This window comes from Homo sapiens, chromosome 8, assembly GCF_000001405.40.
Source record: "Homo sapiens chromosome 8, GRCh38.p14 Primary Assembly".
NCBI lineage: Eukaryota > Metazoa > Chordata > Mammalia > Primates > Hominidae > Homo > Homo sapiens.
Window position 1 is genome coordinate 93,837,168 of NC_000008.11, and position 14,784 is coordinate 93,851,951.

A 14,784-nucleotide genomic window follows, 5' to 3' on the forward strand; every position below is an offset into this window, starting at 1 on the left:
CCTGGACAGACTTCAGTGTTGAGCCTATTTTTATCCCCTGAATAACTGCCTATAGGCAAGGACACTTGGTGATGTATAACCCTTAGGGCACTGCTCTCTGTCCCTAAAGCACACTTAAGTATTTTTTTCTGATTATAAAAAGAGTATATATTCATTTCATTGTAGAAATTTTGAAAACCACGGAAAACCAAAGAAAACAAAAACTACCTGTAATTCCATCATTAGAGGTAACCACAGATTACATTTGGTTTTAGCATATTTCCCTAAGACATTTTCTTTGCATTATAAATAACATATAACATATTTATACTTTTTTCCATAAGGGGGTTACCATGTATACTATACACATTGTTTTGTAGCCTGCTCTTTAAGCACCACAGCATAAGTATATCTCCCTGTAATTAAATATTCTTCACAAATGGGTTTTAAAGATACTATTATTTAAAAAATGGTTCCTTCCTAAAGAAGTACACACTAGGGCTAAGTTCATTTACTGAGCCCTTGAACTACTCGTAATGACCTTTGAGAGATCACTCAAGGTCAAGGCCAAGCCCTCTTTAACATGGCTTCATGACCTACTTCCCGGGCTTCTTTACTCCTCATTGCTCCATCCATGCTCAAACCCTAAGTGCCACAGATACCAGAATGAATTCCTGTAATAAAGCAGTTGGTCATTCAGCCAGTCCGTGTGTCTGTCTGCCCTCCTTCCTTCCCTCTCTCCTTGAGGTCTGAAAACCTACCCTGGTCTCTCTCTGGAAAGCTCTCTCTTATTGCAACTGCCTTACTCCTTACTCATCTTTTGGCTGTTAGCCTGGACTTCCCTCCTCGGGAAGCCTTCCCGGATCCCTCATGACCAGGTCAGGTGTCCCTTTTCTAGGTCCCCACAGCCTCCTCACTTCCCTATTCATAGCAGACAAGAAAACTTGTTAGGACAGGGACCATAACTGCCTAGTGTGTTCACAAAGTTGTATCCCCAGAACTGACAACAATATGTATCATATATTATATATTTATTTATTAGCTTATTGTTTATGTTATCTATTTCCCTATGAGAATAAAAGCACCATGAGTAGGGGTCTTGTCTGTCTTATTAGCTACTGAATCTAGCCCCAGTACCTAGAGTTCTGTTAACACCTCAAAGTATACTATTAGTATTAGTCTGTTCTCACACTGCTATAAATAAATACCTGAGACTGGGTAATTTATAAAGAAAAGAGGTTTAATTGGCTCATGGTTCTGCAGGCTGTACAGAAAGCAGGGAGGCTTCAGGAAACTTACAATCACAGTGGAAGGGAAAGAGGAAGCAGGTGGCCAGAGTAGGAGCAGGAGGGAAGAAGAAAGGTGCTACACTCTTTTAAAAACAACCAGATCTCATGAGAACTCACTCACTGTCACGAGCACAGCACCAAGAGGATGGTGCTAAATGATTCATGAGAAATCACCCCCATGATCCAATCACCTCCCACCAGGCCTCACTTCCCACACTGGGGATTACAGTTCTACATAAGATTTGGGTAGTGACACAGATTGAAACCATATCACCATTCCATATTTTTTTCTGTTTGTGGCTGTACATATATATGTGTGTATGTATTGTTTTTTACAGAAATGAGATAACTTTGCATACATTTTTTGTAACCTGCTTTTTTCACTCATCTATATATTGTAAATATAATTTCATGTTAGTAAAATCTTCTATAAGCATTTTTTTCTATCCATCTTCCATTGTTGGACCTTTAAATTATTTTCTGTCATAAACTTTAAAATAAATCCTAACCATCAGTACAGCCTATGAGCAGAAGGGAGCCTTTCTATTTGATTTATACACACATGGGGATTACAAGGTGACACAAGAGAGCTTTCCTTGCCCCCAGTCTTCTTGGTGTTCTGGAACCTGCCCCTTCAGATGGGGTCTGGGAGTAGGTTTGACCTGGCCTCCTTTCTTCCTTTTCTACCTTCTAGCTTTTTACTGCTCAGCTTGCAAGATGCTCAGTTTCCTCTGGTTTGTCCTGAAATGGAGCTGGGGAAGGGATAAAGAAAAGTGGCCTTTACCTCCCTCCCGCCAATGGTTCAGCCTCAGAGAGGAGTGATTACATGTTTCTTCTCTATTGTGTGTCCAGCCACACAATTTTTACAGAGCAGTAGGCTCAAATATCTGTCCTTGCTTGTTTGGGAAATGGTACTTCATTCAGTTTGCAAGCATTCAAAGAGCTTTTCTTTTCTAATTAAAATGCTGCGAACCACCATTTAGCTAAAGCTTTGCATCTATTTTCAATGATGGTTTTAGGAGAACATTCTAAAAGAGTAAGTTCTGGCTTAAAGGTTATATGCATTTTTATTTATTTATTTTGTTTTAATGAGAACAATTTTACTTTTTATTTTTTAAATTTTGTGTGTACACAGTAGGTGTATATGTTTATGGAGTACATGAGATGTTTTGACACAGGCATGCAATGTGAAATAAGCACATCGTGGAGAATGGGGTATCCATCCCCCAAGCATTTATCCCTTGAGTTACAAACAACCCAATTATACTCTAAGTTATTTTAAAATGTACAATTAAGCTATTATTGACGACAGTCACCCTACTGCGCTATCTAATAGTAGGTCTTATTCATTCTTTCTAACTATTTATTTGTACCTATTAACCATCCCCAACTCCCTTCCAGCCCCCACTCCCCTTCCCAGCCTCTGGTAACAATCCTGCTACTCTCTAGTCCAGGAGTTTAATTGTTCTGATTTTTAGATCCCACAAATAAGTGAGAACATGTGATGTTTGCCTTTCTGTGCCTGGCTTATTTCATTTAACATAATGATCTTCAGTTACATCCATGTTGTTGCAAATGACTGGGTCTCATTCTTTTTTATGGCTGAATAGTACTCCATTGTGTATATGTACCACATTTTCTTTATCCATTCATCTGTCAGTGGACACTTAGTTTGCTTCCAAATCTTAGCTATTGTAAACAGTGCTGCAACATAGAAGTGCAGATATCTCACCAATATACTGATATTCTTTCTTTTGAGTATATACCCAGCAGTAGGATTGCTGGATCATAATGGTAGCTCAACTTTTAGTTTTTTGAGGAACTTCCAAGTTGTTCTTCATAGTAGTTGTACAAATTTACACTTCCACTAAGAGCGTACAGGGATCCCTTTTCTCCACATCCTCACCAGCATTTCTTACTGCCTATCTTTTGGATAAAAGCCATTTTAGCTGATATCTCATTGCTATCAATGATGACATCTCATTGTAGTTTTGATTTGCATTTCTCTAATGGTCAATGATATTGAGCAGCTTTTCTATTTATTTATTTATTTTATTTGTGAGATGGAATTTTGCTCTTGTTGCTCAGGCTGGAGTGCAATGGCATGATCCCAGCTCACTGCAACCTCCGCCTCCTGTGTTCAAATGATTCTCCTGTCTCAGCCTCCCGAGTAGCTGGGATTACAGGCATGTGCTACCAAGCCCAGTTAAATTTTTTTGTATTTTTAGTAGAGACAGGGTTTCTCCATGTTGGTCAGGCTGGTCTCAAACTCCCGACCTCAGGTGATCCACCCACCTTGGCCTCCCAAAGTGCTGGGATTACAGGCATGTGCCCAGACTTGAGCAGCTTTTCATATGCCTGTTTGCCATTTGTATGTCTTCTTTTGAGAAATGTCTATTCAAATATTTTGTCCATATTTTGATCAGATTATTAGATTTTTTTCCTTTAGGGTTGTTTGAGCTCCTTGTATATTCTGGTTATTAACCCATTGTCAGATGGGTGGTTATATACTTTTTTCTTTTTTTTTTTGAGACGGACTTTCACTCTGTTACCCAGGCTGGAGTGCAATGGCACGATCTTGATTCACTACAACCTCCGTCTCCTGGGTTCAAGCGATTTCTGGCTAATTTTTGTATTTTTAGTAGAGACAGGGTTTCACCATATTGGCCAGGCTTGTCTCAGACTCCTGACCTCAAGTGATCTGCCCACCTCAGCCTCCCAAAGTGCTGGAATTATAGGCATGACCCACCGCACCCAGCTGTTATATGCATTTTTAAGTCTGGTGCATACATACTGTCAAATTGTCTTCCATGAAAATTGCACCAAGTTACATTCCCACCAGTGGTGTACAATAATGCCTCCCAACACCAGGGATAATCATATTTTTGGTAGGCAATTTGTGGTATCTCTTTTCATTAATGTGCATTTCCCTAACCCATATGTTTTTAGGTAATAGATTAAAAAGTGGTATCTTGTTGTTGCATGAATTTGCATTTTTCTAAAGCTTATTTCTTTTAAAAACTAATAATTTCAAAGTACATTTTTCTTTTTAGTAAACCAATAGAATTTTAAAATTTCCTCTATTAATTCTAAGATCACCTGAGACAAGAAGACAGCAGAGTTTTTAGTCACATCTCACAACCACACACTACAGGCGGTGGAGTTGAAAAGAAAGTGCTCATCTAAGCAACCTTACTGTTTTACAGATTTAAAAAGATAAGGCTGGGCGCGGTAGCTCACGCCTGTAATCTCAGCACTTTGGGAAGCTAAGGCAGGCGGATCACCTGAGGTCGGGAGTTCGAGACCAGCCTGGCCAACGTGGAGAAACCCTGTCTCTACTAAAAAATGCAAAATTAGCCAGGCGTGGTGGTGCATGCTTGTAATCCTAGCTACTCGGGAGGCTGAGGCAGGAGAATTGCTTGAACCTGACAGGCGGAGATTGCGGTGAGCCAAGATCGTGCCATTGCACTCCAGCATGGGCAAAAAGAGCGAAACTCTGTCTCAGAAAAATAATAATAAAATAAAAAATAAAAATAAAAATAGGTCGGGCGTGGTGGCACATGCCTGTAATCCCAGAACTTTGGGAGGCCAAGGCGGGCAGATTATGAGGTCAAGAGATCAAGACCATCCTGGCCAACATGGTGAAACCCTGTCTCTACTAAAAATACAAAAATTTGCTGGGCGTGGTGGTGCATGCCTGTAATCCCAGCTACTCAGGAGGCTGAGGCAAGAGAATCGCTTGAACCCAGCAGGCAGAAGTCACAGTGAGCCGAGATTATGCCACTGCACTCCAGCCTGGTGACAGAGTGAGACTCCATCTCAATAAATAAATAAATAAATAAATAAATAAATAAATAAATAAAAGGTCTAGTGGTTAAACAAAAATGTATCTTAATGAAAGCTGTGATAGTTTAATCAAACACAAAATGAGGTTATTTTGTAGCTGCAAAAATTTCTGTATATTTCAATTTAAACAATATTATGTAGCATGTACTGTACTTGGAAAAAGTTACTCAACAAGGTGCAGCAAGAAAACACAAAGATAAAACTCCTTTCAAGGACTCTATGTACAGAAGTAAGAGATTAATATCAACAAAGTGCTTGATGAAAAGCAAAGGGTTAACAAAGAAAATGTATAGAATGAAACTAAATTAATGAGGACAATTGATGACATAGTCGAATTTGTAGAAACTTGTCAGCATATAATGGAAATTTTTTTTTTTTTTTTTTTTTTTGGAGACAGAGTCTCACTCCATTTCCCAGGTGGGAGTGTGGTGGCGCGATTGTGGCTCACTGCAACCTCCACCTCCCAGGTTCAAGCAATTCTTCTGCCTCAGCCTCCTGAGTAGCTGGGATTACAGGCATGCGCCACCATGCCCAGCTAATTTTGTATGTTCAGTAGAGACGGGGTTTCACCATGTTAGCCAGGCTGATCTTGAACTCCTGACCTCAGGTGATCCGCCTGCCTTGGCCTCCCAAAGTGCTAGGATTACAGGTGTGAGCCTCTGCGCCTGGCAGGAAAATAATTTTTTAAGACTATTTTAGGGGTGTTTTTTTTATATTATTCTGGTGGGGAAAAAAACTTCACATATGACCACAGTTGTATGTACCTCCCATTAATCTGAATGTGGTTGTACAACAGCAGTTTCAGAAGATTGTGCTATCAGATGCCTCTATGTGGAGAAAGAATAGTCTATTCAATCAACAAGCACTCACTTATTCTAAACCTGATGCTATGAAGGATCTACTAAGATCAAAGACAAGGTCTTTCTGTCCTGGAAGGGTTTAGCCTAATGGACGAGAAAGACAAAGAAATAACACGAAACAGTGTGATAAGAGCTATTATCGTCCCATCTGAACCATTGTTGATTGGTCTCTGGGAGTTGTCAGCTCCAGGAAAGCTAGAAACAGGACAGACTGAGGTCAGATGCCAGAGACAGTAGGACCAAGATGCCAAAGCCTTGCCCAGAAGCACAGCACTGGTGTGGAGCTGAGGTCAGATAGCTGCCACGACGCTGGGGCCAGGCAGCTGGCTGGAAAGTGGAGCCAGGGCAAGCCTAGGGGACACATCTGAAGTCAGAAATGGCAGGGGATGGGGGAGAGGCAGAGCAAGGAAATGGGAAGCCTAAAGCAGGAGGCCAGCGAGAGTTTGTGGGAAGAACATTCTGTTGTGTGGGGGACTTTCTCAAGGCCCTATTGACCAACCCCAGGAAACAATCCACTGCTGACTTAAAGGCTATACTCACCAACCAAGTATCTAACTGTAGGGGTGGTATAAAGTGGTCGGGGAGTCATCAACCTGAATTTTTGAGGCTTCAAAGAAGAAGTAGCAGAGAATATGGTCTGGTCTGTTTGAAGGGTGGAAGACAGAAAGGAAATGGTGCAGGATGAGGCTGGTAAATCGGTACCAACAACCAACATTCATTGAGCACTTTCTCCGGGACAGGCCAAGTGTGAAGGGCTTCACACTCACGACCTTATTTAAGCCCCACAACAACCTTGTAGGATAAACTCTATTATTAGCTGCACTTCACAGATTAAGAAACTAAGAAACTTTGCAGATTAGAGAGTTTACATAATTTCTCTAAGGTTTCACACTATAATGTGAGTTCTAACTCCACAGCTCTATTATTAACTACTAAATATGCTCTGTGGGGCATGACTATAAAGAGGCTTTCTCAGACTACAAGTTCTGCACTTTCTCTTTTAGGCATGGTGATGCCTGTTTGGAGGTATAGCTTAATGTCATCAGAGTAAACTTTAGAGTCTTTGGATCTGAGTTCAAATCACAGTCCTATGACTTGGTGAGACTCCTTGTTCAATTTTCTTAGGCATCATTTTCCTGTTCTGAATTAAGAATAATAACAATGTCTTTTGAAATGTTGTGAGACTTAAATACGACAATGTACATGAAAGCATCGGTTGACTACAAAGCTAAACGTAAATGTTAACTGTTATGCGTTCTACTGTATTTTATATAAACCCTCAGGGCAGCCACGAAGCAGAGTGATATGAGAGCCATCTGGAGACTATTTTAATGATCCAGATGAAGGATGATGACAAGGGCCTACGCCAAGGCAGTGACAGTGAGGGCGGAGAGAAAGGACACATTTAAAGGATATTTAGGACGCTTTACAAAACAGAACCTAATGACAGATTGGATATAGAGAGAGAGAGAGGAAAGGGGGTCAGAATGATTCAGAGTTTTATGTTGAGTAATCGGGTGAATGGTGATGTCATTAATTAAGGAAGAAGAGTAGGTAGGATAATACGTTCTATTTCAGGAATATTGTGACGAGGTGTCTATGAGACATCCAGTAAGCGGAGATGTGAAATGTGAGTGGGACTATGAGGGGGGTGCTCAGAAAAGAAATGTGCCATAGATTCAGATTTGGACATCACTGGGCATTTGTGAGACTAAACCTCTGACAGTGGATGTGATGTCCAGGTAAGACATGAAGCAATGGTTTGTAGCTCTTTAAAGCCAAGGAACCTTTCCACTCACACACAAAATAAATGCTTATGCTAAAACCCAGTTTGCAAAACAGCTCAAAATGAAGCTTTTCTGGTTAAATCCAGAGTGAATTGCCTGGAGCCCACTTCTTGAGACAGCCTCTGAACAGGTTTAACTGAGCCCAGTTTGAGAACCACCTACATGAAGAACAGAAGAGGGTGAGTTAACCACTAAATGGAGTCTGAAAGAAAGCAGCTCATGCAAAATCAGACTGGAATTTTAGTTTTAGATTGTTTGTGAAGAGCTTTTTTGAAACTTTAATGATTTTGGAAACTTCACCCAGTTATTCGCGGTACTAACACTCATCCTGGCCTGCTCTTACGGATGTCTGACCCTGTATTTCAATGTCTATATGTGCCCACCAGAAGCTGCAGAGCCATTCAAATAAAGACAGTTGGCTGAGTTTCCAAGTCTCTCCTTCAAAGTTCATGCACATTAGTTTTCCTTCTTATCAGCAGAGGCTTGTCTTGTACACATCTGCTGGGTCATTCATGCTGAGATCACCACGTTTGTCCCAATTACCATGATTCTTATGTGATCTCTAAACTAGATAAATGCTCATCCACTCAAGCAGTTGTTTAATAAAAGTTATCTCAAATATTTAACTTGTAAGCTTTTTAAGAAGTCGAATTGGTGAAACCTTTTCTCCGAATTAAATCAATTGAGTCTGCTTATTATTTCAACACCGTTGAGGGTTTAATCCTAAATCCACTAAGGTATTAAATCAGAAACACCTAATCATATGATAAGGAAAGATAATAGGAGCAAGAAAAAAGAGCAGAGGGAGGCCAAAAGAAAGAAGCAAGGACATCGGGTGATCATATTAAGAGCTACTTTAAAAACAAAAACAATAGCACTCTAACATATCAGTGATCTAACACAATAAAAATTTATCTCTCACTCAAAGTTCAACGTTGTGGATATTTATGATTGGCATGTGATGGTTCATTTTGTGACTTGGGTACCCTTTTAGAGCCTCTACTTCTTTGCCTGGATCCTTTGCCACTCAGCGAGTAGATTGTGGACGAGAAGACTGGCAAGGGAGAGGTTTCTATGGGCCAGGCTGAAGGTGGGCGCATCACTTCTGTGTAAGTTCCCTCGGCCAGAATGAGCCACAGAGCCATGCTTATCTGCAAGGGGAGTTGAGAAGTATCTAGCTGTGTCCCCAGAGCTAAATGGAAGTGGAGAAAGTGAGCAGCAGCTAGTCTTTGGTACAGATGAAACAAAAAGTGCCCGTGCACAGGTTTTGTAAAAATTAGGAAAAATGAATCCCTGGTACATAAAAATTTTCAGCCTGGGATTCTTCTTATATGGAAACCTTAGTCCCAAGGTCTGAGAGAGGTGCATATTGAATACTCCCAACCCTGTCACAAATATCAGTTAATTCCTAGATAGGAGGGAATTACTATGTTTTTCAGATGTACCAAAGAAAATGTTCATCAATTTTATAGATAAAATCCAATTCTTAAAACATTAAGAAAATATTTTATTTCAAATAATGAAATAAAATATATTTGTATTTGATGCAGCTGAGCATTATTATATAAACTTTTCCTTTACAAACTTATAAAAACTTGTTCACATTCTTACCCCAAAAAAAGTTTTCAAAAAGCTAAACACTTACCCACTGAGTCATAGAATAATTGGAATTCTGACAGGAAGATAACTGTAAAGCAGTTCTTTAAAGAGGAGTAGCACTCTGCTTTATTTAAACCGCACAAAGTAGGTAAGCGTTTTGTGGGTCGTGGATTTTCTAATTCAAGGTGTTATGCAATATGCAGCTGGGCTTTGAATGGCTTCCTCCTTTGTTCTTCTTGCACGCACATGCCATTTGGTGACATCCTGAGGTCTGGGAGGCTATTGGATTAGACTTTCTGAAAAGGAAAGGTTATTCTACACCATGTATAAGAAAAAGCTTTGATGATTCACAAAATTAAAGCTTTTTACTTCCCAGCAGGGGAGATTTCCCAGCCAATATGTTGAAAGGAAAGTGGCTGTATTAAAACTTGCTCCCTGATAGAAACAGAGATCCCAGCTGGCTTTCGCAGGAGGGACAGAGCATTATGATGATGTTGATTAGACAACTTTTAAACAGCACCAGTAGACAAAGACATTTTCAGCCTCCAAAAAAGAAATGGAATGAGTGCCAAGTCTGCATTTTGTGGAGAGTATAAGGCTTGTTCCAGCAAATGTTTTCTCATTATAGAGTAATGCTTGAGGAAGCACACATCAGTTTCGTGCCTCTTCATGATTTGTCTTCCATCTCTTTCTTGTCACCTTTTTAATTGCACTCAGTGTTTTTGCTTCTTCTGCTTGAAGAGAGCACTGAAACAATGTGTATTGGTTTGTAATCAGCATCAGACTTGACTACTTAGTAATTTGTAAAGAGCTTTAAACTCAGTAAAAGAAGGTCTTGGTAGATGTTTCCTTTTGGGGGCATATCAAAAGAAAGTTGTCTTTTTCTTTTCTTCCCCATTTTATACAGATTTTTTAATGCCAGAATTCTATCCTTAATGTATTTTGATCTATAATCATTCTGATTAGACAGCCATTGCAAAAATATCCATAAAACAAGCAGTTCTCCAATTGTGCCTGCAGCATGGTATTTTATGGAGTATGTTAAGTAGAACACCATGGTTCCCGAGGTAATTATAGGTGCTATGTGAATGCAGAATGTATTCATTAATAACAGAATTAATTATTCCAGAATTTATTATATGACTCACATATAACAGAAAAGTCACCCTGTTTCAATTCTCTTTGAATCCTTTTGTCAAGGAGAAAGTTTCAACTTAATGACATTTTTCCAAGCTCTTTTTAATGAGACAAGTTTCAGGCTGAGCATCATCAGCAGACAATTTTATCTACCTCGAACTTAATTACATTTTATTCTCCTTACTTTTATTTTTATTTTTCATCTATGTATAGCAGGTGAAACAGATTGCCCAGTTATCAAATGATACACAGTTTTCTTATAAAATAGTTATAATGCTTAAAAGGGAGTCACTTTAAAGGAAAATATCAAATGGTAAGAGTAAGTGATTTATAGAACTCAACAATGAAGCTATCAGATCCTGGACTTTCATTTGATGAGAGACTTTTTTTATTACCGTTTCAATCTCTTTACTGGTTATTGATTTGTTCATATATTCTCTCTCACCTCTCTCTTGTTTTTTTTTTTTTTTTGAGACGGAGTTTCACTCTTGTTGCCCAGGCTAGAGTGCAGTGGCGGGATCTCAGCTCACTGCAACCTCCGCCTCCCACGTTCAAGCAATTCTCCCGCCTCAGTCTCCTGAGTAGCTGGGATTACAGGCATGCTTCACCACACCAGCTAATTTTGTATTTTTAGATGAGATGGGCTTTCAACGTGTTGGTCAGGCTGGTCTTGAACTCCTAACCTCTAGTGATCCACTCACCTCGGCCTCCCAAAATGCTGGGATTATAGGCATGAGCCACTGCGCCTGGCCATATGTTTTATTTCTTCATGATTCAGTCTTGGTAGGTTATATGTGTTGAGGAATTTATCCATTTCTTCTAGCTTATCCAATTGTTGTCATATAATTTGTTCAGAGTAATCTCTTATGATCCTCGGTATTTCTATGGTATCAGTTGTAATATCCCCTCTTTCATTTATTTAGAGAAAGTCTTCTTTAAAGAGAGAGTCTTTCTCTTTTTTTCTTAGTCTAGTTAAAGGTTTGTCAATTTTGTTAATCTCTTCAAAAAGCAAACTCAATTTCATATAAAGAAGAACATTTGAAGAACTAATACTTAATGTTTCTCAAACTCTTTCAAAAAAATTGAAGAAGAGGGAATACTTCAAACTCATTTTGCAAGGCCAGCATTACCCTGATACCAAAGCCAGACAAGGACACTATCAGGAAAGAAAATTATAGGCCAATGTTCCTGATAAACATAGATGCAAAAATCCTCAACAAAATACTAGCAAACCGAGCTCAACAGTACATCGTAAGAATCATTCACTATAATCAAATGGGATTTATCCCAGGGATGCAGGAATGGTTCAACATACACAAATCAGCAAATGTGATACGTCATATTTAAAGAATTAAGGACAAAAATCATATGATTATCACAATAGATGAAGAAAAAACATTGGACAAAATTCAACATTCTTTCATAATATAAACTCTCAACAAATTAGATATAGAAAGAATGTACCCCGATACAATAAAGGCCATATGTGACAAACTCACAGCTAACATCACACTCAGTGGAGGAACAAGAAAAGGATACTCGATTTCTCACCATTTCTGTCCAACATAGTACTGGAAGTCCTAGCCAGAACAGTTAGGTGAGAGAAAAAATAAAAGGCATCCAAATTAGAACAGAAGAACTTAAGTTGTCTCTGCAGACAACATGATCTTATATATAGAAAACCCTAAGTCCTTCACCAGAAAAATGTTAGAATTAATAAACAAATTCAGTAAAATTACAGGATAGAAATTCAAAATACAAAAATCAGTAGAGTTTCTATGTAGTACAATGCAGTATCTGAAAAAGAAATTTTTAAAAATCCTATTTACAGATAGCGGCAGCGAGGGGCTCGCTGACGTGCTTGGATTCTCGTAGCTGTGCTGGGATTTAACCACCATGTCAAGCAAAAGAGCAAACACCAAGACCACCAAGAAGTGCCCTCAGCACACGACATCCAATATGTTTGCTGTGTTTGATCAGTCACAGATTCAGGAGTTCAAAGAGGCCTTCAACATGATTGATCAGAACAGAGATGGTTTCATCGACAAGGAAGATTTGCAGGATATGCTTGCTTCATCCGGGAAGAGTCCAACTGATTGGTATCTGGATGCCATGATGAATGAGGCTCCAGGCCCAATCAGTTTCACCGTGTTCCTCACCATGTTTGGTGAGAAGTTAAATGGCACAGATCCTGAAGATGTCATCAGACATGCTTTTGCTTGCTTTGATGAAGAAGCAACTGGCACCATTCAGGAAGATTACCTGTGAGAGCTGCTGACAACCATGGGGGGATGGGTTCATGGATGAGGAAGTGGATGAGCTGTATAGAGAAGATCCTATTGACAAAAAGGGAAATTTCAATTATATTGAGTTCACATGCATCCTAAAACATGGAGCAAAAGACGAAGATGACTGAAAGAACTTCAAGTTCCAGCCAAACATTCCTTGTTGCCACTTGGGGTATTTCTGAGATTTTTCTCTTGCATGCCCTTAGCTTTACAGCTTTTGCATTTCCTGTTGTATTTATTCTCAGCCATTTGGGGCACCTGTATCTTTATACTCAGACTGGAAATGGGACTTTCTATTAATATCATTTTCAGAATAGAAAATAGGGTAATTGGCCAGGCACGGTGGCTCATGGCTATAATCCCAGCACTCTGGGAAGCCAAGGCAGGTGCATCACGAGGTCAGGAGTTCAAGACCAGCCTGACCAACATGGTGAAACCTGGTCTCTACTAAAAATACAAAAATTAGCCAGCATGGTGGTGCACACCTGTAATCCCAGCTACTTGGGAGGCTGAGGCAGAAGAATCGCTTGAACCCAGGAGGTAGAGGTTGCAGTGAGCCAAAATTGTGCCACTGCACTCCAGCCTGGGCAACAGAGCGAGACTCCGTCTCAAAAAAAAAAAAAAAAAAGAAAGAAACCAGGCATAGTTGCTCACGCCTGTAATCCCAGCACTTTGGGAGGCCAAGGCAGGTGGATCCAAAGGTCAGGAATTCAAGACCAACCTGACCAACATGGTGAAACCCCATCTCTACTAAAAATACAAAAATTAGCCGGGCGTGGTGGCATGGGCCTGTAATCCCAGCTACTCAGGAGGCTGAGGCAGGAGAACTGCTTGAACTTCGGAGGCAGAGGTTGCAGTGAGCTGAGATTGCGCCACTGCACTCTAGCCTGGGCGACAGAGCAAGACTCTGTCTCAAAAAAAAAAAAAAAAAGAAAAAGAAAACAGGGTAATTAAACCTACCAGCCCCTCCCCACTAATAACTGTGATCTATACAGTGTCAATATATTTTTTCAGAGAAAGTTATTTGTTCATTTTTTTCTGAACCATAATTAAACTTTATGGTAAAATTTTAAAATTTTTTTAAAATCCTATTTACAATAGCTACCAAAAAATTTAAACAGGAATAAATTTAACCAAGGGGGCAAAAGACTTATACGCTGAAAATTATAAAACATTGATGAAAGAAATCGAGGAAGACACAAATAAATGGAAAGATATCCCAAGTTTATGGAAAGGAAGAATTAATATTTTTAAAATGTCTATACTGTCCAAAGTGATCTACAGATTCAATGCAATTTCTATCAAAATACCAATGACATTTGTTCACAAAAAATAGAAAAAAAATCCTAGAATTTATATAAAGCCACAAAAGACCCCAAATAGCCAAAGCAATCTTGAGCAAAAAGAACAAAGATAGAGGAATCATACTATCTGACTTTAAAATACACCACAGGCTGCTATTCTGGGCATGCTGCCTATGGGGTAGTCCTGCTTCACAAGGAGCAGTAAAATATATTTTAAAATAAAATACAGTACAAAGCTATAGTAATCAATGCAGCATGGTACTGGCACAAAAATAGACACAGAGTCCAATGAAACAGAATAGACAGTCCAGAAATATTAATAAATCCACGTGTTTATAGTCAATCGATCTTCCACAAAGGTGCCAAGAACACACAATGGGGAATGGAAAATCTCTTCAATAAATTGTGTTGGGACAATTTATTGTGTGTGAGAACAACCTGGCCAACATAGTGAAACCCCGTCTCTACTAAAAATACAAAAATTAGCCAGATGTGGTGGTGCATGCCTGTAATCCCAGCTACTCAGGAGGCTGAGGCAGGAGAATCACTTGAACCCAGGAGGCAGAGGTTGCCGTGAGCCAAGATCATGCCACTACACTCCAGCCTGGGCAACAGAGCGAGCCTCTGTCTCAAAACAAACAAACAAACAAAAACCAAAATATAAGGAATGCTGTCTTAATCTCTCTGTGTTGCTA

At 39.5% G+C, this 14,784-nt stretch overlaps 1 pseudogene, besides 1 other annotated feature; it reads left to right on the forward strand.

Annotated features, from left to right (window-relative positions):
• Positions 8,984-10,183: an enhancer, noted in NCBI's record as "P300/CBP strongly-dependent group 1 enhancer chr8:94858379-94859578 (GRCh37/hg19 assembly coordinates)". NCBI's record gives its function as "activates an origin of replication core promoter dependent on BRD2, BRD4, P300/CBP, MED14 and CDK7 cofactors, with strong dependence on P300/CBP, by STARR-seq in HCT116 cells {active_cell/tissue: HCT116}" and the evidence as "EXISTENCE:reporter gene assay evidence [ECO:0000049][PMID:35650434]".
• MYL12AP1 (MYL12A pseudogene 1) lies at positions 12,328-13,116 on the forward strand (annotated as a pseudogene).